The 27,283-nt window shown below is 44.0% G+C and overlaps 1 protein-coding gene and 1 long non-coding RNA gene across 3 annotated transcripts in view, besides 3 other annotated features; one reads left to right on the top strand and one right to left on the bottom strand.

Moving 5' to 3' along the window:
• STARD7-AS1 (STARD7 antisense RNA 1) overlaps nt 1-1,977 on the bottom strand; it is a 34,208-nt gene extending 32,231 nt beyond the window's left edge. Inside the window, exon 1 of the long non-coding RNA NR_046322.1 lies at nt 1,414-1,977. This is a non-coding gene — a long non-coding RNA (STARD7 antisense RNA 1). The remainder of the gene's footprint in view (nt 1-1,413) is intronic.
• Nucleotides 1,282-1,872: an enhancer, noted in NCBI's record as "NANOG-H3K27ac-H3K4me1 hESC enhancer chr2:96874259-96874849 (GRCh37/hg19 assembly coordinates)". NCBI's record gives its function as "activates a minimal SCP1, AML or CMV promoter by ChIP-STARR-seq in naive H9 embryonic stem cells {active_cell/tissue: H9 hESC(naive)}" and the evidence as "EXISTENCE:reporter gene assay evidence [ECO:0000049][PMID:30033119]".
• Nucleotides 1,320-1,539: a silencer, noted in NCBI's record as "silent region_11758". NCBI's record gives its function as "represses an Ori minimal core promoter by ATAC-STARR-seq in GM12878 lymphoblastoid cells {active_cell/tissue: GM12878}" and the evidence as "EXISTENCE:reporter gene assay evidence [ECO:0000049][PMID:35858748]".
• On the top strand, nt 1,566-25,534 carry STARD7 (StAR related lipid transfer domain containing 7). 2 transcript variants are annotated; one of them, NM_001385622.1, is made up of 8 exons: nt 1,566-1,854; nt 14,844-15,052; nt 15,386-15,435; nt 17,041-17,151; nt 17,233-17,315; nt 17,925-18,024; nt 23,092-23,176; nt 23,479-25,534. In NM_001385622.1, exons 2-8 carry the CDS (start codon nt 14,857-14,859, stop codon nt 23,661-23,663), a joined length of 810 nt encoding a protein of 269 aa, NP_001372551.1. In that variant the 5' UTR covers nt 1,566-1,854; nt 14,844-14,856; the 3' UTR covers nt 23,664-25,534. The 2 variants fall into 2 exon arrangements, with proteins under 2 accessions (NP_001372551.1, NP_064536.2); NM_020151.4 differs by having other exon boundaries at nt 1,566-2,248.
• Nucleotides 1,890-2,149: a silencer, noted in NCBI's record as "silent region_11757". NCBI's record gives its function as "represses an Ori minimal core promoter by ATAC-STARR-seq in GM12878 lymphoblastoid cells {active_cell/tissue: GM12878}" and the evidence as "EXISTENCE:reporter gene assay evidence [ECO:0000049][PMID:35858748]".
• Nucleotides 25,535-27,283: the final 1,749 nt, after the last annotated feature.

Below are 27,283 nucleotides of genomic sequence, written 5' to 3'. Positions count from 1 at the left end.
ATATTCCTGATTGAGAAGTCTCCCGAACCAAGACTCTTCCTAGTTAGGGACAGCCAACTGGGATGCCCCAGGAGCCAAACTGAGACAGACACCCCATGGTGGAGCTACAGACACCCACCATGTGGCTACAGAATCAGTCCGGAGAAGGAAGGAGGCACTGGCAGCACCTAGGATACTCAGCAACCTGCCACCCCATGATGGGGCTATAGCTACAGACACTCCATGACCTGGCTACAGCGCCCCGCTATGGAGCTACAGATACCCTGTGACAGGGCTACAGTTATGGGATGTCTCCCCAGGACTATTTCTCCATTGCGATTAAGTCCATGCATATTGGGCTAGCAGTGCCCCACTGGCAGAGACGGTGCCAGAGTTAGCCCCTAGTCCAAGAGAACTATGTGGCCGCTTAGGCTGGCCTCTGGATCTGTCACCAGAGGTGGGGCTACCGAACCATGGACAGGTAGCCACAAGGGGTATCCCAGACGAACCCCCAAATTTGTAACCGTACAATGGGTTCACCTTGCCCACTGCCTAGACAGAGCCGATTTATCAAGACAGGGGAACTGCAATAAAGAGTAATTCACGCAGAGCCCACTATGAGACTGGAGTTTGTTTCAACATTACTCAATCAGTCTCCCTTAGCATTCCGGGATCAGAGTGTTTAAGGATAATTTGGTGGGTGGGGGAAGGCCAGTGAGTCCAGAGTGTTGACTGGTTGGGTCGAGATGAAATAATAGGGAATTGAAGCTGTCCTCTTGCACTGAGTTGGTTCCTGGGTGGGGGCCACAAGGTCAGATGAGCCAGTTTATCCATCTGGGTGGTGCCAGGATCCAACCAGTGCGGGGTCAGCAAAATATCTCAAGCACTGATCTTAAGAGCAGTTTAGGGGGATCACAATATCGTAGCCTCCAGCTGCATGACTCCTAAACCATAATTTCCAATCTTATGGCTAACTTATTAGTCCTACAAAGGCAGTCTAGTTCCCAGATAAGAAGATTTGTTTTGGGAAAGGGCTGTTATCCTCTTTATTTTAAACTATAAACTAAGTTCCTCCCAAAATTAGTTCACCTAAGCTCAGGAATGAACAAGGACAGAAGCAAGATGGAATTGGTTAGGTCAGATCTCTTTCACTGTCTCAGTTTTAATTCTGCAATGGCGGTTATCACTGGGAGCCCCCAGCCCCCGCAGAGACATGCGGAGCCCCGCCCCCACCCTGCACTCTAATAAAGAAGGGGGCCAGCGTGCCGGCCTCTTAAAACAAGTTAACACCTGGCAGGATTCTAACAGGAACCTGGCCAGGTTTCTCCGCGGGGCGGGGCTGGGACGGCCGGAAGATGGCGGCGACGGCGGCAGCCGGGTCCGAGGGTCACTCTCCAATGCGCCCTTGACGGCTCTCGCCGCCGAGCCACCTACCTTGCTAGCAGGCGGCCTCCGCGCATGCATGAAGGGGCAGGAGGGGGCGGTGACGAGCACTTCACGGCGCCAATGAGCACCCAGGAGCCCAGGTCGCGCCCAATCACGGCCCAGGTGGCGGAGAAAAAGTAGGGTGCGCGCGCGCCGCGCGTGTGGCAGTCGCGGAAGGCGCGGGAGCTTGCGTGCTGCTGGGCCTGAGCTGTCTGTCTCGTTTCTGTCCGCGCGCCCTGCATCCCGGCCCCGGGCGCCCGCTGGAGGTCGCCGAGGAGCCACAGGGCTGACTGGTCTGCTGCCCGGGCCCAGGAGTGCCTGGTGTAGCAGTCGCGGAGCCATCCCGGCGTCTGCTGCCATGACCGACTCTCCCCTCAGAGGAGACTCTTCCTCAGCGGTGGCTGCAGAGACAGATGAGCGGCGGCTCCTGGCCGCGGGACCGTGAGACGGGTTCGTGGCCGGCCATTTAGGGGGACGCTGCGACCACCGCCTGCGCCCCTCCGGACTGGTTCCTTGGGCCCCGGAAGCTCGCGGCGGGCCCTGCGGGAGGCGGCATGCTCCCGCGGAGGCTGCTGGCCGCCTGGCTGGCGGGGACGCGGGGCGGGGGCCTGCTGGCGCTTCTGGCCAATCAGTGCCGCTTCGTCACGGGCCTGCGCGTGCGGCGCGCGCAGCAGATCGCGCAGCTCTACGGCCGCCTCTACTCCGAGAGCTCACGCCGCGTTCTCCTCGGCCGCCTCTGGCGCCGGCTGCACGGCCGTCCTGGCCATGCCTCTGCCTTGATGGCGGCGTTAGCCGGCGTCTTCGTTTGGGACGAGGAGAGGATCCAGGAGGAGGAGTTGCAGAGGTGGGCGCTGCGGCGAGCTCTTTCTGGGCCGTGGGGTGGGGGGGCTTGTGAACCCTGGGGCCTGCCCTGTGGTCGTTGGCCCTTGTTTACCCGGTGGTCTTTTAATTGGCAATACAGTCGATTGAACCTGCTTCAGCAAACCGCGTTGTTATTTGTCTCTGTGTGTCAATTTGCATTTGTCGGGTTATAAAATAGAACTGAAAGTGTGTAGGCTGGTGTGTAGGAGGGAGACTTTGAGTGGGGCGAGCAAGACAGTAAAGAAACAACACTGTAGAAATCAATTAGATAGCGAAGGCATGGAGGCCCTTGTTCATGTAATCTGTAATCTTTAACACAACCAGAAAGGTGCAAATTCAAAACAAATTTTAAATTTGGCCTAAGGGTGGTGGGCTGCTATTTGCAAAATGACTTCAATCCAGATGGGACTCAGGCCTGTGAGAAAAGCCAGGAGAGCCCTCTGTCATCGTGACTCGTGGCAAAATTGAGAGCCTGGAAGCGATTTTGTCCAGGTTACACAAACCAGCAGCCCAGACATTTGAACCTGTAAGAATTAGGTCAGATTTTTGCGACGTTAACTAGAACTTTGGGAATAGTGTCCCATTAGACTCTGAAGTCATGCTGTCGTCATCAAAACTGTGAAAAGCCCAGTACCATTGATTACGTTTGTTAATCTGTAGTTCTGAGACTGTAGTTTCCAGGTAATGTCATGGGGAAACTTTGCTTTGGTTTTTGGTTTACCTTGTGTCTGTATTTTCTTTGCAACAGATATTCTTAAACTGTGCCCTCCCTGCACAGAAAGTACTTTGCCGTGATTTCGGGAACCAGAGACAATCCCCTCCCTCCGCAGATTCCACACTCGCCTGTTTATTCTTGATATTTCCTCCACAGGGAAACAACCTGTTATTCCACATTTTTTGTTAGGTTAAAAATGGAAATACCCCAATAAAGTTTATACCATGGCCTGTGTGGGAGGTGTAACACCCAGATGCCAGGCAGCTATTTGTGCCACACTATGAATTGTGGGTAAATGCAAGTCTATCTTAAGAACTGGGAATACTTTTCCTAGCAGGAAAGATAACTTTTATAAATGCAACTTAAAATAATAACCACAAACAACCTTATTCACAAAAAAGTTAAGCTATCAAAGCGTGATAGGTATTTTGCCTAGTTCCTATTAGTATTCTTTTGCTACTTGGCCATTGGTTATAATCACAGTCTCTTGGGTGTGGGAAATAAAAGAATAGGAAGAAAACTTCTAAGTTGACAAATTATCATTAACTTTTAATTTTCATTTTTGATGATGAAATGTCCGTGTTCCACTTTTTTTTTTTTTTTTTTTTTTTTGAGACGGAGTCTCGCTCTGTCGCCCAGGCTGGAGTGCAGTGGCGCGATCTAGGCTCACTGCAAGCTCCGCCTCCCGGGTTCACGCCATTCTCCTGCCTCAGCCTCCCGAGTAGCTGGGACTACAGGCGCCCGCCACCACGCCCGGCTAATTTTTTTGTATTTTTAGTAGAGACGGGGTTTCACCGTGTTAGCCAGGATGGTCTCGATCTCCTGACCTCGTGATCCGCCCGCCTCGGCCTCCCAAAGTGCTGGGATTACAGGCGTGAGCCACCGCGCCCGGCCGTGTTCCACTTTTAAGTTGAAAAATTATCATTAACTTTGAATTTTCAGTTTTGATGATGAAATATCCTTGTTCCACAGTTAAGTTTGAGAGGAAAATCTCCAGTTGGAATTGTTGGGGTAAGAGGAGAAAGACCAGGAAAAGGGCTACTGGGTACAAAAGAGAGGAAAGGAGAGTTTGGGGGTGGGAGTTGAATAGTGTTGGGGCTTACGTAGTAGATGACACTCTTTGGCTTATTTTATGCATTTTTATGGATGATATTAATAGATCCTGGAGCCTCTGTTTAGCAGTGCTAAACAGAGTTAGTGGGGAGTTAGTGGGGAAAAAAGATAGGAAATGAACATAGTAAGCATTTGAGTTAGTCAGTATTTATCATGGCAGAGAGATCAGACCAGTTCATGACTGAGCCTCTGGTCAGACTGTCCCTGAAACCTGGAGGCAATTGAAATACTCTTGGTTCTACTCCAACTCCTCAAGAGGGACTGCTCTGAGTTAACCAGCTTTGGAATTTCAGGAGTTCAGATGAACTCCAGAACACTTTCAAGCTGCACTTTGACCCTTCTTAGGGTTGTTATAGTAAAGGCCCTCATTTAACATTTCATTGTTTGGTTCATGCTTGAATTTGGTTTTTCATGTAATTAAAATTTGATCATGTTGTTCATCTTGAGGATTTTTTTTCTTTTTAAAATATTTGTTAATGTGATAGGAAGGCAAATATGCTATTCAACAACTACATCTTGGTTGCACAGTGGTTCCTTAGGTCTTTGTTTTGATAGCTTGTCATGTTTATATTTTATTAAAATATTCTGGGTACAGATTAACTTATTTGCTTTGTGTTTAAGTATTCTATTTGCTTGAAAGTAGGCACTGCTGAGGTTGTCATAGCTAGCTTAGAACATCTTGGATTTCGTTTGTTCTAGTGAGATGATTTTTGGGTAGCTTCCATAATGGAGCACAGTTGGAGTGTGTCTCAAGTGCATTTCTTTCATTGTTAATGGAAAAAGAGCATGATTGTCACATGGCCCCTAAATCACAGCCTTTGGCTCATCTGTGCTGATTCTGTACCAACTTGTCCTGGCACAAACTAATTCTAACATAGCTGTTTTGGTTAAGCGGGTGGAATGTGCAGGGTGTCTTTTTGAATGTGTGCCTTAAAGTGGCATGTGTTTTCCTTATGTTATTTGAGTCCTATTCAGAATGACAAAGCATAACTTGTCTTCTCGTCTTTTGTGCTTAAGAACATCTTACCAAATAGCGTCTTATTAATCAAGCAACAGCAAGAAAATTTGAGAAGTGATTTTGACTGGCTGCTGTGGCCAGATGTAGAAATCAGATCTTTTAATACTTGCTCTAGTACCCAGTTGTCTTAAATTAAACAACGAAAATATCTTGGGATTGCTGTTTTTGGTGCTAGCTGGCATTCTGTGATTCCAGGGCAAATCTAATGGAAAAATACAGTAGTCATGTTTTTGATTGCTTTGGAACAGTTAAAAAGAAAAGTTACAGGAACAAAGAGAGGAAGGATGTTAAGAAATGAAAGGCTAGGGGAAAATGTTCCATTAACCTCCTCATAGTTTTTTAAAAGTTACAGTTCATTGCTCCAGAAATTTGAGTAAATAAGTGCCATTAAAGTTGCATAAAGAAAATTGGCCATTTTCTCTTTTCTGTCTTTCAGGGCATTCGGGATATGTTAAACTTCAGTGTGTTATTGACTAGATAAATGATCCGCATAAAGTCCTTTTGCCTTAAAGGAACTTTTTTTTTTTTTTTTGGCCATTGTCACTTCAGGGTATCTTACTGGTAAACCCTTAAACCCCTTGTTAGATCTTCAGAGCTACATAAAATTAGATCTCAATTTTTTGAGGTTGTCTTCATTATTTTACCATTAACTAGTTGCCCTAGAACTGCAATGAGCTAATTGATGTCCTGTCCTGTCCTGTCCTCCCCTTCCCTCCCGCCCCCTTCCGGGACAGAGTCTCACCCTGTCGCCCAGGCTGGAGTGCATTGGCATGATCTCGGCTCACTGCAACCTCCGCCTCCCAGGTTCAAGCGATTCTCCTGCCTCAGCCTCCACTGAGTAGCTGGATTACAGGTGCTTGCCACCACACCCGGCTAATTTTTTGTATCCTTAGTAGAGATGGGGTTTCACCATGTTGGACAGGCTGGTCTCCAGCTCTTGACCTCGTGATCCGCCTGTCTCGGCCTCCCAAAGAGTTGGGATTACAGGCATGAGACATCACGCCCAGACTCTTTTTTTTCTTAAGACATAATCTCACTCTGTCGCCCAGGCTGGAGTGCAGTGGTGTGATCTCACCTCACCGCAGCCTCCGCCTCCCTGGTTCCAGCTATTCTCGTGCCTCAGCCTTGCCAGTGGCTGGGTCTACAGCGGGGGTGCCACCACGCCTGTTTAATTTTTGTATTTTTAGTGGAGACGGGGATTCACCATGTTGGCCAGGCTGGTCTCGAACTCCTGCTCCTGACCTCAAACAGTCCTCACGCCTTGGCCTTCCAAAGTGCTGAGAGCCAGGCGCCTGGCTCTATGTCTTTTTTTGGGGGGTATGGAGTCTTGTTCTGTTGCCTAGGCTGGAGTGCAGCGGTGTGATCTGGGCTTACTGAAGCATCCACCTCCTGGTTTCAAGCAGTTCTCCTGCCTCAGCCTCTCAAGTAGCTGGGACTACAGGCATGCCCCACCACGCCCACCTAATTTTGTGTGTTTATTTTTAGAAGAGAAGGTTTCACTGTGTTGGCCAGGCTGATCTCCAACTCCTGATCTCAAGTGATCCGCCTGCCTTGGCCTCCCAAAGTGCTGGGATTACAGGCATAAGCCACTGCGCCTGACTCCTATGTCTTTTATTTCTAGGTGTGTCCCGTATCAGTAGAACCTGACTTTGACAATAACTTGGAATTTGAAGAGGAGGAGAATTATGTGAAGTGAGGCTGTTGTCTGACTGAAATTCCTAATTGTAGGGATGGTTTCATTTAAGTAATTTTGGAGCCTTACACCAAGCTCCATGCTGAGGGCAGGACCCCTAGATGAACCAAATGTTGTTTCACTTACTTTGTTTTCATGGTTTGTTTGCTTTCAGTTTCTATAGCTTTCGGTCCAGCCTTTTTCAGATATTGAAATGATTTTCGTTTTGGAGAAAGAAAGGCATGGTCTCTCTTTTCTTGATCCTTTTTCTAATCTGCTGATTTTACTATTTTGGGAATAATCTCTTTTGTCCTTCTGTCCTCTCTTAAGTCTCTTAAGATGTGAAGGTTTAGCCACCCATCCCATCCAAACAAGATTGGGCACAGCAGCCTAAAGAGATGTGTCATGAGAGGTTTTCCTTTTCTCCACATATATGTTAGTGAATGACTTTGTGCTCCTGTATGTTAATTGGGTCTTGTCATGTTAGCATTTAGAAGTTCAGACCCTTCAGGGATTCCTAAACCTTGGGAAAAAATAACTTGATCATTTACATTTTCGTGAAGCAGTCTTGCTCTATCATTCATACTGTGTCTCCACAAGACATTTCCGTCCCTTTTCATAATTTTAGTCAAAGCCACCTAGTAACCTTTAATTATATAGGAGAGCTTGATTAAGCAGTGGGTCAGATGCTCTGAACCACCTTGATTCTTAGAAGGTCATGAAAAAATGTTGCCTATAGTTAATAATTTTCTTAAAACTTTATTAACTATGTAATTATTTTATGAGCCTCTGATGTTTTAGTACGACATTCCACCAGTGGAAACATGCTCCCCTTTATTATGTGGCAAGAATGATAATTCGGGCCAGGTGTTGTGGCATGTGCCTGTACTTGGGAGGCTGGAGGATCACTTGAGCCCAGGAATTTGAGGCCAGCTTGGGCAATGAAGAAAAAAATTTTTTTTAAAGAATGACACTCAAGAGTTGTGCTTAGTTATTGTTGAAGGATGCTTTATAGACCTCAAAAATGCTGTAATCGATGCCCTATGGTGCCTGATTGTTCTCTGAGCAAATCTAGCTATGGTTTTGCTTTTGCTCTTCTTCTGCAACATCTAAATGCCTATCCTAAGGTTCCTTCTCTGTTTCTCTATGGTTTTGCAGCTGGTCAGGGTTCTTGGTTGTAACAAAGAAACTGGTCTTGGTTAATTTAAGCCAAAAAGGAATTAATCAAAACGGTATTAGGTCACTCAGTATTGACAAGGCCAGGGTACAGGTTGACCAAGACCTGCAGCAGGAATAATCTACTTAGAGCAGTGTTGCTGGCATTCTTTCCCCCAGATTGGTTGTACTCCTGGACTCCCAGCTCCCTCAAGATCCTGTGCCTTTGTGTTATCTTCAAGATGCAAAGCCCCTTCTAGAAGTCTCTAACCTCACTTAAATTAGGAGCTGTGCTTTAACTGCTTGTGGGCGGGAGGGGGGCTGCATTCACCTATTTGGGTTCTTTCCAAATAGAAAGGGATTTCAGGCAGTCAAAATGACAAATATTCCCCTATATAAATATTTTCATCCAAGTCCAAAGCTTAAAATTCAGCAAATTCAATTTTAGAACTAATAGGACTTCAAGAAATAACGTCCTCACTTTAAAGGTAAAATAAAATAAGATCACACAGCTGGTCAGCTGTAGAGCCAGGACTAGAACACAAATCTTTAGACTTACCATTATTTTGAATTGCTCTAAACTTTTAATCTTGGATTGACACTATACCTTTGAATTTTTGGCTTTTGCAGCAATATATTAATGCAATATATATATATTTTTGAGACAGTTTCACTCTCACCCAGGCTGGAGTGCAGTGGCACGATCTCAACTCACTGCAACCTCCATCTCCTGGGTTCAACAGATTCTTGTGCCTCAGCCTGCTGAGTAGCTGGGATTACAGGCGCAGGCCACCATGCCTGGCTAATTTTTTTTTGTAGTGCTGGGATTACAGGTGTGAGCCGTTGCACCTGGCCAATTTTTTTTTTTTTTTAAGAGTCTTACTCTGTTGCCAGGCTGGAGTGCAGTGGCATGATTTTGGCTCGCTACAGTCCCGACCTCCAGGGCTCAGGTGATTCTCCCACCTCTGCCTCCTCAGTAGCTGGGACTACAGCTGCATGCCACTACGCCCAGCTATTTGTTGTGTAATTTTTTTTTTTTTTTTTTAGAGGTGGAGTTTTGCATGTTGCCCAGGCTGGTCTTGAAGTCCTGGGCTCAAGTGATCTGCTCACCTTAGCCTCCCAAAATGCTGAGGATTATAGGCGTGAACCACTGCCCCAGGCCTTAATGCAATCTTTTAATAAAAATTTGGATTACTGAGGCCTATTTTCATTTTATTATTTCTTGATTTACTAAATTTATTCATGTAATGTATGTAATGTTTACCAGGACATGTAATGTTTACCAGGACATGCTAGGAGCTGGAACTACAAATATGAAAAAGACTGATTCTGGGCTATTAAGGAATTTATAGTTTAGTAAGGAAAGCAGATATAAAGATAGATTAATTATAGTGTAATATGCCTGTGTAAAGGAATAAAAATCAGTGTGTATGGTTAACTCTGCCTAGCAGTTACCTTTGTGGTTTTTTGAAGCTTGAAGGGTGAAAAGGCATTTCAGACAGTGTAGCAGTAATTTGGGTCTTCTTCAGTCTTGAATTGCAATAGAGTGTATAAGACAGCCAGCCAGCAATTTTTGTTTCTTATCTGTAACCTTTCTTTAAATGTTGCAGGGGGTAGGGTGAGGTGGAGGGCACGGAGAAGCTGGGTATGGTAGCACACGCCTATTGTGCCAGCTACTTGGGAGGCTGAAGTGAAAGGATCTCTTAAGCCCAGGAATTTGAGGCCAGTTTCGGCGACATAGTGAGACTTTGTCTCAAAAAAGAAGAGGTTATGGGAAAAATACAAGCCAAGTTTTAAAAAATTATTATTATAAAATGTTTCAGATATATAAAAAAGGTTTAAATAATAACACGAGCGTTGCAAGTACAGCTATGTTAAGAAATAAGATATTACAAGTATACTTAGGGTTCCTCTGTACCTTTTTCCAGTTGTATTCTTATTTTTCCCCAAGATGTCACCATTATCCCAATTTGTTGTATATAATTCCCTATGTTTTTATACATATGTATATACCCCTGAATGATACATAGTGATACATAGTACAATATATGGTGGTGTTTTTCATGTTTTAAAACTTTTTGCAGCCGGTGAGTCCCGCCTGGAATCCCAGCACTTTGGGAGGCCCAGGCTAGTGGATCACTTGAGGCCAGGAGTTCAACACCAGCCTGGGCAACATGGTGCAACCCCATCTCTACTAAAAATACAGAAAACAAATTAGCTGCATGTGGTGGTGCTTGTCTGTAGTCCCAGCTACTTGGGAAGCTGAAGTGGGAGAATCACCTGAGCTTGGGGAGTTAAGGCTGTAGTGAGCTGTGATTATGCCACTGCACTCTAGCCTGGGCTCAGAACAAACAAAAAAAAACCACACAACTTTTCGCAGTCCTGAACAAAATACTAACAAACTGAACTCAGCAATATATGAAATGGATTATATGCCATGAAAAGTAGGATTTATTTAAGGAACGGCAAGGTCGGTTCTTCATACAAAAATCAATTTATTACACCATATTAATAGAAAAAAGGACAAAAACTGCGTGATCATCTGAATAAACACAAAAAGTATTTGACAAATTCCAGCCTCCTTTTGTGATTAAAAAAGAAAACACTCAGCAGACTGGGAATAGAAGGAAATTTCTTGCAGCTGATAAAAGGCATCTACAAAAAACATAGCTAACAGTGTAGTTAATGGCAAAAGACTTAGTGCTTTTCTCCTAAGATCAGGAACAAGATGAGGATTCTGCTCTCACCATTTCTGTTCAACATTGTACTGGAGGTCATAACCAATGAAATCAGGCAACATAAGGAAATGAAAGTCATTTAGATTGGAAAGAAGAAATAAAACTATCTCTATTTGCAGCTGACATGATCTTATATTTAGAAAATAGTAAGGAATCTACAGAAAGCAATTAGAGCTGATAAATGAGTTCATCAAGTTTGCAGGATACAAGATCAATACACGGAAGTCATGTTTATGTACACTAACAATGAATCTGAAAATAAAATTAACAATTTCATTTACAGTAGCATAAAAGGAATAAATACATACGAATAAATTAACAAGTGTACAACTAAAACTGTAACACTAAAAACAACAAAACATCATTGGAAGAAATTTAAAAAGACATAAGTGAAAGACATCCCGTGTTCATGGATTAGATTAGAACACTTAATATTGCTAAGATGGCAATACCACTTAAAGTGATCTACAAATTCAGTGTAGTCTTTATCAAAATCCTAGGCAGTTCTGCAGAAATTGGCAAGCCACTTCTGATAGTCATATGGAAATGAAAGGAACTCAGAATAGCAAAAACAGTCTTGAAAAAAGAGAACAAAGTTTGGAGGACTCACTGTTCCCAATTTCAAAACTTATTACAAAGCTACAGTAATGACATTGTGGTACTGGCATAAGGATAGACATCTAGATTGTTAGAATAAAATTGAGAGTCTAGAAATAAACCTTTACATTTTTGGTCAGTTTTCAACAAGGATGCCAGGATAGTTCACTGGGGAAGGAATAGGCTTTTCGACAAATGACACTGGGTCACCTGGAGAAGCAGATGCAAAAGAATGAGTTTAGACTCCTACCTCATTATCATACACAAACATTAACTTGAAATGGGGTAAAGACCTAATGTAAGCTAAAATTCTAAAACTCTTAGAAGAAAATATAGGCATAAGTTCTTATGACCTTGGATTAGGCAGTGGTTTCTTGGCTATAACACCAAAAACAAGCAATCAAAGAAAAAATAAACATCAAAATTAAAAACTTTTATGCATGAAAGGATACTATCAAGACTAGTATAAGCACATGAAAAGGTTAGGGAAATACCAGTCAAGACGCAATGAGATACCATTTCACACCCACTAAGTTGGCTGGAATAACAAAGATGGACAATAACAAGTGGGGCAATTGGAACCAAGGATGTGGAGCAGTTAGAATCCTCAAACATTGCTGATGTGAATATAAAATAGTGTAATTGTTTGGAAAACATTTTGGCAGTTGCTTAAAAAGTTAAGCATAGTTACCATGATCCATCAAATCTGCTCCTAGGAATCTACCCAAGAGAATTGAAAACATGTCTATATGAAGATTTGTACACAAATGTCCATAGCAGTATTCTTTTTTTTTTTTTTGAGACAGTTTTGTCTTTTCGCCCAGGCTGGAGTGAAGTGGTGCAATCTTGGCTCACTGCAACCTCCACCTCCTGGGTTCAAGCAATTCTCCTGTCTCAGCCTCCCAAGTAGTTGGGATTCCAGGCTCCTGCCATCACACCTGGCTAATTTTTGTATTTTTAGTAGAAATGGGGTTTTGCCATGTTGGCCAGGCTGGGTCTCGAACTCAACCTCAGAGTGATCCACCCACCTTGGCCTCCCGAAGTGCTAGGATTATAGGCATGAGTCACTACGTCCGGCCAGCAGTATTATAATAGCAGTAATATAATATAGTGCTATTATAATAGCACTATAATAAAATAGTGGAAACAAATTTTATTTGATGAATGGATAAACAAAATGCGATCTATCCATACAATGGAATATTATTCAGCTATAAAAAGGAATAAAGTACAGCATGGTTGAACTTGAAAGTATGCTAAGTGAAAGAAGCTCAACACAAAAGCTACATATCATATGATTCCATTTACTTGAAATGTCCAGAATTGGCAACTCCATAGAGACAGAAAGTAGATTAGTGGCTGCCTAGGACTGGGAGGAGGCAGGAATGGGAAGTGACTAATGATAGATAGAGGTTTCTTTTGGGGGTGATAAAAATGTTCTGGAATTAGGGGTGATGGTTGCACAACCTTGTGAATATACTAACAAGTACAGAATTGTACACTGTAAAAGAATGAATCTTATGGTATGTGAATTTATCAATTTAAAAACAAAGGGGAAAAATACATACATACTTATAATAAGACAACCCAATAAAAAACGGACAAAAGATATCAATTGACATTTTAAAACCATAAACCTTCATAGTTAACATTTGAGGGCTACTTACGTGCCAGATAACAAACACTTTATTTTATTTTATTTTTTATTTATTTTAGAGATGGAGTCTCACTCTGTTGCCCAGGCTGGAGTGCAATGGTGCGATCTTGGCTCACTGCACCCTCAGCCTCCTGGGTTCAAGTGATTCTTCTGCCTCAGCCTCCCGAGTAGCTGGGATTACAGGCGTCCACCACCATGCCCAGCTAATTTTTGTATTTTTAGTAGAGATGGAGTTTCACCATGTTTCCCAGGCCGGTCTCGAACTCCTGACCTCAGGTGATCCGCCCACCTCGGCCTCCCAAAGTCTGGGATTACAGGCGTGAGCCGTTGTGCTTGGCTTTATTTTATTTTATTTTATTTTATTTTATTTTATTTTATTTTATTTTATTTTATTTTGAGACGGAGTTTCGCTCTTGTTGCCCAGGCTAGAGTGCAATGGCACGATCTTGGCTCCCTGCAACCTCCGCCTCCCGTGTTCAAGCGATTCTCTTGCCTCAGTCTCCCGAGTAGCTGGGATTACAGGTATGTGCCACCGTGCCCAGCTAATTTTGTATTTTTAGTAGAGACAGGGTTTCTCCACGTTGGTTAGGCTGGTCTCAAACTCCTGACCTCAGGTGATCGCCTGCCTCAGCCTCCCAAAGTATTGGGATTACAGGCGTGAGCCACTGCGCCTAGCCTATTTTATTTTTTAAGAGACAGTGTAGCTGGGCACGGTGGTTTACGCCTGTAATCCCAGAACTTTGGGAGGCCGAGGCGGGCAGATCATGAGGTCAGGAGATTGAGACCGTCCTGGGTAACACGGTGAAACCCTGTCTCTGCTAAAAATACAAAAAATCAGCCGGGCATGATAGCGCGTGCCTGTAGTCCCAGCTACTGGGGAGGCTGAGGCAGGAGAAATACTTGAACCCAGGAGGCGGAAGTTGCAGTGAGCCCAGATCATGGCACTCTATTCTAGCCTGGGTGACAGAGTGAGACTCTGTTTCAAAAAAACAAACAAAAAAAAGAGACAGAGTCTTACTGTATTGCCCAGACTGGAGTACAGTGGCAGAATTGTAGCTCACTACAGCCTCCAACTCCTGGGCTCAAGTGATGTTCCCATCTCAGCCTATAGCTTGGAGTACAGGCATGTGCCACTATGCCTGGCTAATTTTTTAAATTTTTTCTTAGAGGTAGGGTCTCACTGTGTTTCCCAGGTTAGTCTTGAACCTGGCCTCAAGGAGTCCTCCTGCCTTGGCCTCCCAAAGTGCTGGGACTACAGGAGTGAGCCTCTGTGCCTGGCCATAGATATTAAGCACTTGACACTTACTTTTTTTTCGTTGTTTTTTGTTTTTTGTTTTTTTTTTTTTTTTGAGACAAGAGTCTCACTCTGTCGCCCAGGCTAGAGTGCAGTGGCGTGATCTCGGCTTACTGCAACCTCTGCCTCCCAGGTTCAAGTCATTCTCCTGCCTCAGCCTCCTGAGTAGCTGGGATTACAGTTGCGCGCCACCATGCCCGGTTAATTTTTGTGTTTGTAGTAGAGACAGGGTTTCACCATGTTGATCAGGCTGGTTTTGAGCTCCTGACCTCGTGATCCACCCTCTTCTGCCTCCCAGTGTTGAGATTACAGTCGTGAGCCACCACGCCCTGCAGCACTTGACACTTTGTAATCTTTATAGCCAACCTCGAGATAGGTACTATTATTATTTCCATTTTATAGATTTAGAAATAGGAACTGGTTAAATAATAATCTAGTTAGTGAGTGTTGGACTAAGATTCAAACTCAGGAACTCAGTTTTTATTGACTATACTGTGTCCTGTTTATATACTACATACTGTGGTTTACTGTATAACCTTCTTGCACAGACCTTTGTGTGGACACTTCATTTCACAGGGCTGACTAACCACCTCACCATGGCTCTTTTTCCCCTTTACAGATCTATTAATGAGATGAAGCGGTTGGAAGAAATGTCAAATATGTTTCAGAGCTCTGGAGTCCAGCACCACCCTCCAGAACCAAAAGCCCAAACAGAAGGGAATGAAGATTCAGAGGGCAAAGAGCAACGTTGGGAAATGGTGATGGATAAGAAACACTTTAAGCTGTGGCGGCGCCCAATTACAGGCACCCACCTTTACCAGTACCGAGGTGAGCCCAGTGTGGCTATCTTTTGGGTTCCATAGTTGCACAGGTGCATGGGATTTCTGTTCTTCATACTTCTCTAAACTGTTCTGGTTGTTTCTCAGAAAATTTGCCGTAGTTTTTTGTTTATTGTTTTTCTTCTCCCAGATGACAAATGTCTCAGTGTTGTCTTTGCTTACATCCTCTTTGTCTTTCTTTGTTGCTCTACTAAGACTTCTAGTTTCTGAACCTGCCTTTAAGATCTCTTAGTACTTTAGATCTGAAACGCCGCTAGGTGAAAGAAACAAGGCGAGTGACTGGAGTATGGCCAGCATCCCTTATTCTTTCTTTTCATTCTAGTTTTTGGAACCTACACAGATGTGACACCTCGGCAGTTCTTCAATGTTCAGGTGAGTTAATTTTTCTCTCCAGATTTGGAGCCTCCTAGCATATCAATTGCTACTGTCTACATGAATCATTTATCTGACTCAGGTGACATTGGCTTAAGTACATCCATCTATCTACCTGTCATCCACATTGCATAGCATTTAGGTAAACATTTGACTTAGAATTTCTTTATCTGTCCCATGGGGATGAGATCAGTTTTACCCTCCCACAGGACTGTTGGGAATATCAGATAGAGGAATGGATATGAATACTTTAATGTATTTTATGAGGCTTTATTGTTTTTTTCCCCAAACAACTTAAGAGTAAGTTACATACATCATAGTCCTTTACTCCTAAATTCTTCCAGTGTGTATTTCCTAAAACTAGCCATATGCCGTATTTCTTAACTAATCATGATACCATTATTGAAATTAGTAAATTTAACACTGATGGAACACTTTCATGTAGTCCTCTGTTTGTATTTATCAGTTTTATCAGTTGACTCAATGTCCTTTATAGCATTTTCCACTTCAGTACAGATAGGATTATATTTAGTTGTCACATCTGTTTAACCTCAAATCAAGAACATTTCCATAGTGGAGGGTTTTTTTTTTTCTTTCCTCTCCCTGAGACAGGGTCCTGCTGTGTTACCCAGGCTGGAGTACAGTGGTGTGATCATGTCTTGCTGCAGCCTTTGTTTCCTGGACTCAAGTGATCCTCCCACCTCAGCTTCCAGGCCTACAGGCATGCGCCACCACACTTGGCTAATTAAAATTTTTTTTTCTTAGAGACAGGGTCTCCCTATGTCTCCTAGGCTGGTCTTGAACTCCCTGGGCTCTAGTGATCCTCCTGCCTTTGCCTCCCAAAGTGCCGGGATTACAGGTGTGAGTCACTGTGTTGGCCCAATGTTTATTTCATAAAGATGAAGAGTATCTGTTCAAAGACTGCTTTCCTCCTTGTAGGGGAAGATGGTTTAAAAAATGAAACAGGGAGGTGGGATCGCCCAGAGTTCTAGAACAAAATTTTTTTCTTTCTGGATTTTTCATTTGTTTTGCTGACTTCCGATAACTACTTCGTTGGTTATAACACTCACTCTAACGTGCAAGTGCACTTTCCCTGAGGTACTGGATCTTGTTAATTTGTAGTGAATTTTTGTTGGTTTTATGTATATGGTATATCTGTCTTAAGTTGAAAATCTTCAGTTACTAGTGATGCCAGAAATTTAAAAAAATATGCTGCTTGCATTTTTGTGTGTGAAGTGTCTACTTAATACTTTTGGACTTTTTGTTGTTTAAAACTTTTTAGAATTGTCTTACCCTTACACATTCATATCACTATATATTATTTTCCCCAGATGTGTCTATTAAAATATTTTGTTACACTTTTCCTTGGTTTGTCTAATGAAGATTCACATTCAGTGTAATGACATTAGCCTGTATAAGGTGATTTTGAAAGAAACATCTGTAGTAAACACAGCCATGTCTCTCACACTCTGGCACTGTCTGTTAGGTCAGATTACTCTCTCCTTGTAATAAGATTCTTGGATCAGAGACCAAAGCATCTGGAAAGCTTTCTGCATTTTTGTTTTGGGTCTTCTTGGGTATTCATGGTCTTTTCTCTTTCTGCAGCTGGACACAGAGTATAGAAAAAAATGGGATGCCCTGGTAATCAAGCTGGAGGTGATTGAGAGGGATGTGGTTAGTGGTTCCGAGGTTCTTCACTGGGTAACCCATTTTCCTGTGAGTATTTTTACTTCTGATTTTATTTCTGTCCAGGTTTGTGTGATGCAGAACACTAATCCTGCTCCTCCATTTCTTTAGTATCCAATGTACTCACGGGATTATGTTTATGTTCGGCGGTATAGTGTGGATCAGGAAAACAACATGATGGTGTTGGTGTCGCGGTATGTATGGCTGCCTGTGGCTGTTGCCGAGTTCCTTTAGCTGTGGCCTTCATTCCTACGTACCTGAGTTTGTATATTCTTAGTGTCCTATGAGTCTCCCACAGGCTTCCCTGCAGCCAGTGCCCCTTCCATCCAGCTAGAAGATGAGGGACTCTGACTGTCTAGAAAGAATGGAGAGATACAAGCTTTTAGTTAAACTGTTTTTTTGGGTTCTTTAATGTTGGTAATCAAAAGAAGTGCTGTTGTTTTTGACCCACAGCCTAGTGAGCCGTAAATTACCAAAGGAACTCACTTCATTTTTAATTAATTCATTTGTTTGTTGTAGACGCAGGGTTTCACAGTGTGGTCCAGGCTGGTCTTGGACTCCTGGCCTCAAGTGATCTTCCTTCCTTGGCTTCCCAGTGTTGGGATTACAGGCATGAGCCACCACGTCTGGCCTTCGCTTCATTTTTAGAACTTAGTTTGTATTTATTCATCTTAGTGACTCCTTTGTTTTGTGTATTTAAAAATATCAGAGCCAGCTTTTTAGGCCTTCCCCTTAACTTAGCTCTCCTGTTGTTTTATATATAGACATTACTAAGAGTTTGCTTCTCCTTTCCTCCTTACCAGTGCTGTGGAGCATCCGAGTGTGCCAGAGTCTCCAGAATTCGTCAGGGTCAGATCATATGAATCCCAAATGGTTATCCGTCCCCACAAGTCATTTGATGAGGTGAGTTTTACCTCATCCAAGAGATAACATGTCATGGCTGTGGAATTTTCTCAAGGGATGTCTTACCTGAACTAGGGAGGAGGGGGTGTGGCGCAGGAACAGTTCTCGCTCGGGGGAGTCTGATGCTACTGGTCTGGGAACCATTTTTTGGGAACTCCTGACGTAGGTGATGTACCTGGAAGTTCCCCAAGGACAAAGTAGTGGCAATCCATTGGTTCCCTCTTATCTGAGAGATAGTTAAAAGAATCATAGCCACTGACGCATTAGCCTGTATCAGTAGCATTCTTCAGGAACTAGAGCGAGTACCTCCTGTCAACATTTTACTACAGTGGGCAGAGCACTGGATGGAAACTTTTCTGGATTTCTGCTTCCTTGCCAGAGTAATGGGAAGATTGGACTCATGCTGTCTGCCTTCTTTAAAATTCTGTGACCTTTCTTTGAAAAGAATATTTATTTCAGCCTAATGAGGTGTTTTGTGTTTATTTTTTATCTTTTTAAGCTAAATCTCCACTGAGAGTATAGATATTGATGCTAGTGGCTGCTGGTTTTAGTTCCACTTCACCTTATAATGGCTTTGTTTCTCCCTATTGCTTGTGTTCGATTTAGGGCTATATGGACAGTGTTCTTTAGTGTAGTTTTCTTATTCTCATCAAGTTGTTTTATTTATACCACCTCAAGGACTTGAGTTGGTCCTTGTAAAAAAAAACAAAAAAAAAAGTACACTGGATAGAGAGGAAAGCAGGCAGGGCACTAGGGTTAGAAGACATGATTCAAGCAAAGACAAAGATAGGAATGAGCCAGGTATGCACTGAGAGACTCACATGCTTAGAGAGGAAAGTAGAGGTTAGGGAGAAGTGATAAATTGCATTGACTGTGTACAGAGGGTACTCGAAAACCATGTAGCTGAGTTTGGATTTGCCAAATGGGAATTAGATCTTTGAGCCAAGGTAGGGGGTTTTTATCATGGAAAATTTGAAATAGATACAAAAGATACAGAAGTAGAAGAGTATAATGAACCCCCTGTATCCATCCCCAGCTCCAGTTATCAACTTATGGCCAAAATTGTTTTATCTATACCCTTTCCCATTTCCTTTCTCACTCCCCTGATTATTTTGAAGCAAATTCTAGCTTTACTGTAGGAGAACCCAGTTCTTCTATTATATATTTCAGTATTTATCTCAAATAAGGATTTTGGGTTTTTTTGGAAACAGGGTCTCCCACTGTTACCCAGGCTAGTGTGCAGTGGTACAATCACAACTCACTGCAGCCTTGACTTCCTGGGCTCAGGTGATCCTCCTGCCTCAGCCTCCTGAGGAGCTGGGATTATAGGCGTGTGCCAACATGTCAGGCTAATTTTTTGTATTTTTTGTAGAGATGGGGTCTCACCATGCTGCGCAGGCTGGTCTCAAACTCCTGGACTCAAGCAATCCTCCCACCTCAGCCTCCCAAAATGCTGGGATTAGAGGCGTGAGCCACTGTGCCCAGCCCAAGTAAGAAATTTGTAAAACAGCTCTGGGCCAGGCAGCATGGAGAGACCCGGTCTCTACAAAAAATAAAAATTAGCCAGGCATGGTGATATGTGCCTGTAGTCCCAGCTGCTTGGGAAGCTGAGGTTGGGAGAATCACTTGAGTCCAGGAGGTCAAGGCTGCATTAAGCCGTGTTTGTGCCACTGCATGCCAGCCTGGGCAACAGTTTGAGACCCTTCTCAAAAAAAAAATAAAAAATAAAAAAGCCAGGCGCAGTGGCTCACGCCTGTAATCCCAGCACTTTGGGAGGCCGAGGCATGTAGATAACTTGAGGTCAGGATTTTGAGACCAGCCTGGCCAACATGGTGAAACCCTGTCTCTACTAAAAGTACAAAAATTATCCAGGCATTGTGGCACGTGTCTGTAATCCCAGCCACTTGGGAGGCTGAGGCAGGAGAGAATGGCTTGAACCTGGGAGGCAGAGGTTGCAGTGAGCCAAGATCGTGCCGCTGCACCCCAGCGTGGGCGACACAGTGAGACTCGTCTCAAAAAAAAAAAAAAAAAAAGACACAGACTTAAATGTACTTAGTTTTTAAATATATTATCCTTATTGATGCTCAAATTGATTCCAGTTTTGGTCATTGGGAGTCTTCTTGTTGGCTCAAGCCCCTTTGACATGACCCCAGAAGCTGTCTTGCTTTCTGGTGTTACAAGATGTTGTAGGTTCATCTTGTATATTTTTAGTTTTACACCTGGAAATTAACATTTCTTTAGGGAGTCCTGGTTCCTTTTAGTGGAAAATGGCATTTAAATACCACAATTTGGCTGCTAAGAATATTCATAGCTATTGGGTCGTTTATTGTTTGTAGGCCTTTTCAGAAGACAGAACCAAGTAATACATTTTACTGGTATGTTTATTTTTAAGATAAAATAAATCCTAAGTATATACTAATACTTTTAATTCAAATTCAGGACTATGGAGTTTTTATTTCTATCTTCTATCTTTTGTCTTTCCCTGTACTGTAGAACTCAATTCCCAGGAACCCTAACACAACTACTAATTTGTTGAAATACACAGCCTCAGAATAACAATACAGTAAGATCACCAATAATACGAAGAATAAAATTTTGTGGTCTTTTTGTCTTCAGGATGTGCATACTGTGTACAAAATATTGATTTTTTTTTTTTTTTTTTGGAGACGGAGTCTCGTTCTGTTGTGCAGGCTGGAGTGCAGTGGTGCGATCTTGGCTCACTTGCAACCTCCACCTGCCAGGTTCAAGCAATTCTCCTGCTTCAGCCTCCCAAGTAGCTGGGATTACAGATGTGCACCACCACGCCTAGCTAATTTTTGTATTTTTATTAGAGACAGGGCTTCACCATGTTGGCCAGGCTGGTCTCGAACTCCTGACTTCAAGTGATCCGCCCGCCTCGGCCTTTCTGAGTGCTGGGATTACAGGCATGAGCCACCGTGCCCAGCCCCCAGCTAAGATTTATGACAGTGTCAGAGTAAAGATATGCAGCTGGATCATAAGAGAAAAAGGCACAGGAGGAGTCTGGAGGAGTCCATGTGAAGCTTCCTTCCCCAGCAATGAAATGTAGCAATATGTGTGCAATGTTTCTGTTTAGGAAGGCCATTAGAAATTTAACACTCTGGCTGAGCACGGTAGCTCATGCCTGTAATCGCAGCACTTTGGGAGGCTGAGGCAGGAGGATCTCTTTAGCCAAGGAGTTTGAGATCAGCCTGGGCAACACAGGGAAGACCCAGTCTCTGCAAAAAATAAAAAATTAGTTGTGGTGGTAGTGCATGCCTGTAGTCCCTGCTACACAGGAGGTTGAGGTGGGATGACTGCTTGAGCCCAGGAGGTGGAGGCTGTACTGAGTCGAGATTGCATCACTGCACTCCAGACTGTGCAACAGAGTGAGACCTTGTCTCAAAAAAAAGAAAAAAAAAACACCCAAAGTGTTTTTTTTGTTTTTTTGTTTTTGTTTGTTTTGTTTTGTTTTTCTGAGATGAGTTTCGCTCTTGTTGCCCAGGCTGGAGTGCGATGGCGTGATCTTGGCTCACTGCAACCTCCGCCTCCCGGGTTCAAGCAGTTCTCTTGCCTCAGCCTCCCGAGTAGCTGGGATTACTGGTGTGTGCCACCACACCTGGCTAGTTTTTTTTTTTCTTTGTATTTTCAGTAGAGACAGGGTTTTGCCATGTTGGCCAGGGTGGTCTCAAACTCCTGACCTCAGGTGATCCATCTGCCTCAGCCTCCCAAAGTGCTGAGATTACAGACGTGAGCCACCACACCCAGCCCAAAGTGTTTTTTAAAGACGGAGTCTTGGCTGGGTGCAGTGGCACACGCTTGTAATCCCAGCACTTTGGGAGGCCAAGGTGGGTGGATCACTTGAGGTCGGGAGTTCGAGACCAGCCTGACCAAGATGGAGAAGCCCCGTTTCTACTGAAAATACAAAATTAGCTGGGCATGGTGGTGCATGCCTGTAATCTCAGCTACTGGGGAGGCTGAGGCAGGAGAATCACTTGAACTCAGGAGGTGGAGGTTGTGGTGAGCCGAGATTGTGCCATTGCCCTCCATCCTGGGCAACAAGAACGAAACTCTGTCTCAAAAAAAAAAAAAAAAAAAAAAAAAAGTCTTGGTCTGTCACCCAGGCTGGAGTACAGTGGCTCAATCTGTGCTCACTGCAACCTCTGCCTCCCGGTTCAAACGATTCTCCTGCCTCAGACTCCCAAGTAACTGGGATTACAGGCGTGTACCACCACGCCCAGCTAATTTTTTAACTTTCAGTAGAGATGGGATTTCACCATGTTGGCCAGGCTGGTCTCGAACTCTGGTCCTCAAGTAATCTGCCTGCCTTGGGCTCCCAAAGTGCTGGGATTATAAGGCATGAGCCACCACGCCCAGCCAACACCCAATTTATTTATTTATTTATTTATTTTTTGAGACGGAGTCTCGCTCTGTTTCCCAGGCTGGAATGCAGTGGCTAGATCTTGGCTCACTGCAACCTCTGCCTCCCGGGTTCAAGCAATTCTTGTGCCTCAGCCTCCCGAGTAGCTGGGACTACAGGTGTGTGCCAGTATGGCCGGTTAATTTTTGTATTTTTGGTAGAGATGGGGTTTCACCATGTTGGCCAGGCTTGTCTTGAACTCTTGACCTCAGGTGATCCGCCTGCCTCGGCCTCCCAAAGTGCTGGGATTGTAGGCATGAGCCACCATGCCTGGCCTAACACCCAAAATTTTTATTGGGAGCTGGTCACTTAGTACCGTCTGCTTAGCACATACCAGAATTCCAAACCCTGCAAAGCAAAGCCTGTGTTCAGCATAAACCACGTTGTTTGCATAGTCTATGCACAGGGAGCCACCCATATCAGCTAACTGTTGACTGGGAGCGAAGTTGGCCAAGGGTCAACATTGCAAGGAGACCTTTCTATAGATAGTAGTCTCTCAGGCCTTCAGTGTTAACTCTTTTCTGCACAGGGTGAAAAAAGAAATGACACTCCCTGCTCCAGAATCAGATCATAGTTATTCTATGGTACTGGATATGGAGGTTGTGGTTGGTGATTCAGGGATCTTCATTTTTGCTGTTTTTCTTTTCCAGAATGGCTTTGACTACTTACTAACATACAGTGACAATCCCCAAACGGTGTTTCCTCGCTACTGTGTTAGTTGGATGGTTTCCAGTGGTAAGTAAGGGCAAGTATACAGGGCCTGGAACCTGGGTTGAGCATTTTGTTTTTCTCTATTTCCTAATGGGGAAATAAAACGTCTCTTCTGGTTCTTCTTTTTTTTTTTTTTCTGAGACAGAGTTTTCACAACCCATGCTTTGGGAACACATTCCGGGAGGCAGCTCTTATTCACAGGCTAGTCAGGTTGTGATCTTTATAAGGAAGAACTAGTTCCCTACCATCAAAGAAATAGGGTCTTCTCATTTTGAGCCTACTGTTGGTTTGTATGTCAGCTTAACCTGATTCTCGTCTCCTGACAGGCATGCCAGATTTCCTGGAGAAGCTGCACATGGCCACTCTGAAAGCCAAGAATATGGAGATTAAAGTAAAGGACTACATCTCAGCTAAGCCTCTGGAAATGAGTAGTGAAGCCAAGGCCACCAGCCAGTCCTCTGAGCGAAAGAACGAGGGCAGCTGTGGCCCTGCTCGGATTGAGTATGCTTGACAGGCTTTGGGATAAGAAGGGACAAGGTGCTTCTAGCCCTGTCTCAGTCCGTTATCACTCTGCTGTAGAAGGGGGACATGCCACATGTATTAGAAGGCATCTGCTGTAACTTCCAGTGCAAGATAATTCAATAACTGATGTCCCATTTCATTCAGAGCCCTTATTGCTCTTATCAAAACAGAAGAAGGCTACATTTGTGGGAGTGTTGTCATATTCTCAGGCCAACTGTTTTGAAATTCGGTATCTCACTGAGCTAATCTGGAACAAACCTCTCACCTCAGGCCAGAAGGGGATGACCTCCATTTGCTTCTCTGAGTAGTTTCCTCTGCTGACATTCCAAATCCCACCATCGATTGTGCAGCGCTTTGGATTTCCTTCAGTTCTCCAGGTCCACCTGGAAAGTATAGTTGGCCAGTTGAGTCTCTCAAATGAGGGGCTACTGGGAGTGCTCTTGGTAACAATCATGATGTGAATGGGTGTGAACGATACTTGGCTATGTTAAGTGCCTTGTCCGCACCTTGCTTTTATCTCTAGAGACATGAAGTTATTATTAATTTTTTTTTTTTTTAAGTAGAGATGGAGTTTCACTCTGTTTCCCAGGCTGGTCTTGAACTCCTGGGCCATGCCTGGCCAGGGACATGAATTTGTACAAAGAAATTTCCCTCCCTGCCTGCACAATATCACCCATTGACTCACCTTATCCAAAGCAAGTTTCCTGTGAATCGGCCAGTTCTTCTATATTCATTGGATCATTGCCTCCTTCCTAACCTTCCCCATTTACCAAGAACACTGGGAGACTAATCCTTTTAGATAGTAGCTTTTTGATGCTCAAAACATCACATTTAAATTTAGTTTAAAAATTTTTTAACTTTTGTGTCAAATAGGAGTTGAGGAATTGAGCAGGATTCTACCCTAGTCCGATTGTATAGAAAACACCATTTTGATTCAGGTATTATTTTTCATATTTCAGGTTTGACTTGTTCTTTTCAGAAGGCTAAAGTCAGAGGAATGGGGGCTGGGCCACTCCCTTGGAGCTCTCAGATCTACAGACAAGCTGTGTGAATGCATAGATGTAATCTTGTCTCAAATACTAATACAGTGGAGATTTGGTTTATGTTACCATTAAGTTCCTCTAAAAAGTTTTTCTTCCTCTCTTCAGAGCCAAAATAAAAGTGAACTACACTGTTCAGATAAGGTCACAATCTGATGCTGTCAGTTTGACCGAGCTGGTTTTGCTTATGGTCATGCTGCAATTTGTTAGAATAATAGGGATCAAGTTTTAAATCCTCCTCCTTCCCTTTTTTCTGGAGTCTTGAGGGCCAGAGTTTTTGTTTTTGTTTTTGTTTTTGTTTTCCTGCTTGCTACTGTTTTGTGGTGTTGAAAAGTGGTTTAAACCTGAGACTAACTTAAACACTTCCTTGACCTTCTTGTTGCCTGTTCATTTTTGTGCCAAGGAAGTAGCTGCCCCAGTGTATGTCTTGCCTTCTCCGCGTCATTGTTGGAAGAGGAGAGATGCATCGAGCAGTCCCAGCTGCTTTTCATTTATTACTTCTTCTTTCCAGGACCTGACAGAAGTCAGGGAAGAGTCCCTGGGTTATGTCCAAACTTAGCACCTGCAATTGTTGGGATGTGGATGGATGTGTGCATAAGAGAGAGAGAGAATATGTGTGTGTGTGTGTGCGTCTGCGAGCGCACACACATGCACAAGTGCGAAGGAGTTGCGGTTGCTCCATGTTCTGACTTAGGGCAATTTGATTCTGCACTTGGGGTCTGTCTGTACAGTTACTCATGTCATTGTAATGATTTCACTCCTAACTGTGACATTTTTATCAAATGTGTGAATAAATACATAAAGATTGGTACAAAAAAAAGTGTTTGTCTTTGGACAAATGGTGGTGGAAAAATCTTGCATATTGGACTTACCATTTCTTTCTGATCACAAAGTTGAAAAGAATTTTACTCTGAGAGTTGGGAGGTGGAAGTGGCAGGGCTTGTTCATTCTTGGTAGATAGTGGCTGACACAGTTTGCCTAGACCACGAGCCCTTTCCAAGTGACCTGCTTGGCAACTGAAAATAAACCACCTATGTCCACTTCCCTAGCTTGATATACTGACCCATATCCTTTCCCTTTAAAAAAAGATCACTTTGGAGGGAGCAGTGCTAGAGCTTAGCAGACGGTAGAAATCAGGAGGGACAGAAGCAGGCCTGAGGTCTAGGGTTGAGGTTGAGGAGAGGGTCAAGTCAGCGCTCTTGGCGGAGGGGCAGTCCTGCTGGCATGCTCTGAGCATAACATGAGTTTATGTGTAATTTTGCCTGTGGGAAGCACTAGGTGAACACAAAAGCACACCCAGTTGAACTGAGCTGCATAGGAACACACAAGGCACACGTCCCTGTGTGGTGTACCATCTGATTCCAGAGAACCGCACGCCCCATCTCATGCTTGCAAGCCGCAGCCCTTCCATCGGCCATCCTGGCTCTGCCTCACACTCTGCTCTTTATTCTCTTTCAACCTCATTTGTGTTTTACCTCTCTAATTTTTTTTTTTTTGAGACGGAGTCTCACTCTCGCCTAGGCTGGAGTCCAGTGACGAGACCTCGGCTCACTGCAACCTCTACCTCCCGGGTTCGAGCAATTCTCCTGTCTCAGCCTCCCTAGTATCTGGGACTACAGGTGTGTGCCACCAAACCTGGCTAATTTTTGTATTTTTAGTAGAGATGGGCTTTCACCATGTTAGCCAGGCTGGTCTCGAACTCCTGGCCTTAAGTGATCCACCCACCTTGGCCTCCCAAAGTGTTGGGATTACAGGCGTGAGCCACCGTGCCCGGCCTATAACATTTTTAAGTGACAAAATTTTAGAAATGGAAGATTGATTTAGAAATGGCCGGGCGCAGTGACTCATGCCTGTAACTTTCGGGGGCCGAGGCTGGTGGATCACCTGAGATCGGGAGTTCAAGACCAGCCTGACCAACATAGAGAAACCCCGTCTCTTCTAAAAATACAAAATTAGCTGGGTGTGGTTGTGCATGCCTGTAATCCCAGCTACTTAGGAGGCTGAGGCAGGAGAATCACTTGAACCCAGGAGGCAGAGGTTGCGGTGAGCCAAGATCACGACACTGCACTCCAGCCCAGGTGACAGAGCAAGACTCTGTCTTAAAGAAAAAAAAAAAACCACATAGACCAGGCAGGGTGGCTCACACCTGTAATCCTGACACTTTGGGAAGCCGAGGCAGGCGGATCGCCCGAGGTCAGGAGGTTGAGACCAACCAGGGCAATATGGTGAAACCCCGTCTCTACTAAAAATACAAAAAAATTAGCTGGACACAGTGGTGGGTACCTGTAATCCCAGCTACTCAGGAGGCTGAGGCGAGAGATTTGCTTGAACCCGGGAGGCAGAGGTTTCAGTGAGCCAAGATCACACCATTGCACTCCAGCCTGGGCAACGAGCGAAACTCGAAAAACCAAACAACAAACCAGAGCAACACCAGGGATCCCTTGCGATGCTGGTCTACCACCACAGTCAACTGTGGTGTTAGATACACAAAACTACACTGGTGATAAAATTTTAAAGCTTTTTTTTTTTTTTTTTCCCGAGACAGAGTCTCGGACTGTTGACCGGGCTG

The sequence above is a fragment of the Homo sapiens genome, chromosome 2 (assembly GCF_000001405.40).
Source record: "Homo sapiens chromosome 2, GRCh38.p14 Primary Assembly".
Classification (NCBI taxonomy): Eukaryota; Metazoa; Chordata; class Mammalia; order Primates; family Hominidae; genus Homo; species Homo sapiens.
This window is presented reverse-complemented; position numbering and strand designations above follow the sequence as displayed.

What these genes read in the sequence shown, in the direction of transcription:
- STARD7 (NM_020151.4), top strand. Translation starts at nt 1,959, where the DNA reads ATGCTCCCGCGGAGGCTGCTGGCCGCCTGGCTGGCGGGGACGCGGGGC. An exon ending in CAGGAGGAGGAGTTGCAGAG is followed by an intron (nt 2,249 to 14,843) that starts GTGGGCGCTGCG and finishes TCCCCTTTACAG; the next exon opens with ATCTATTAATGAGATGAAGC. An exon ending in TAGTTGGATGGTTTCCAGTG is followed by an intron (nt 23,177 to 23,478) that starts GTAAGTAAGGGC and finishes GTCTCCTGACAG; the next exon opens with GCATGCCAGATTTCCTGGAG.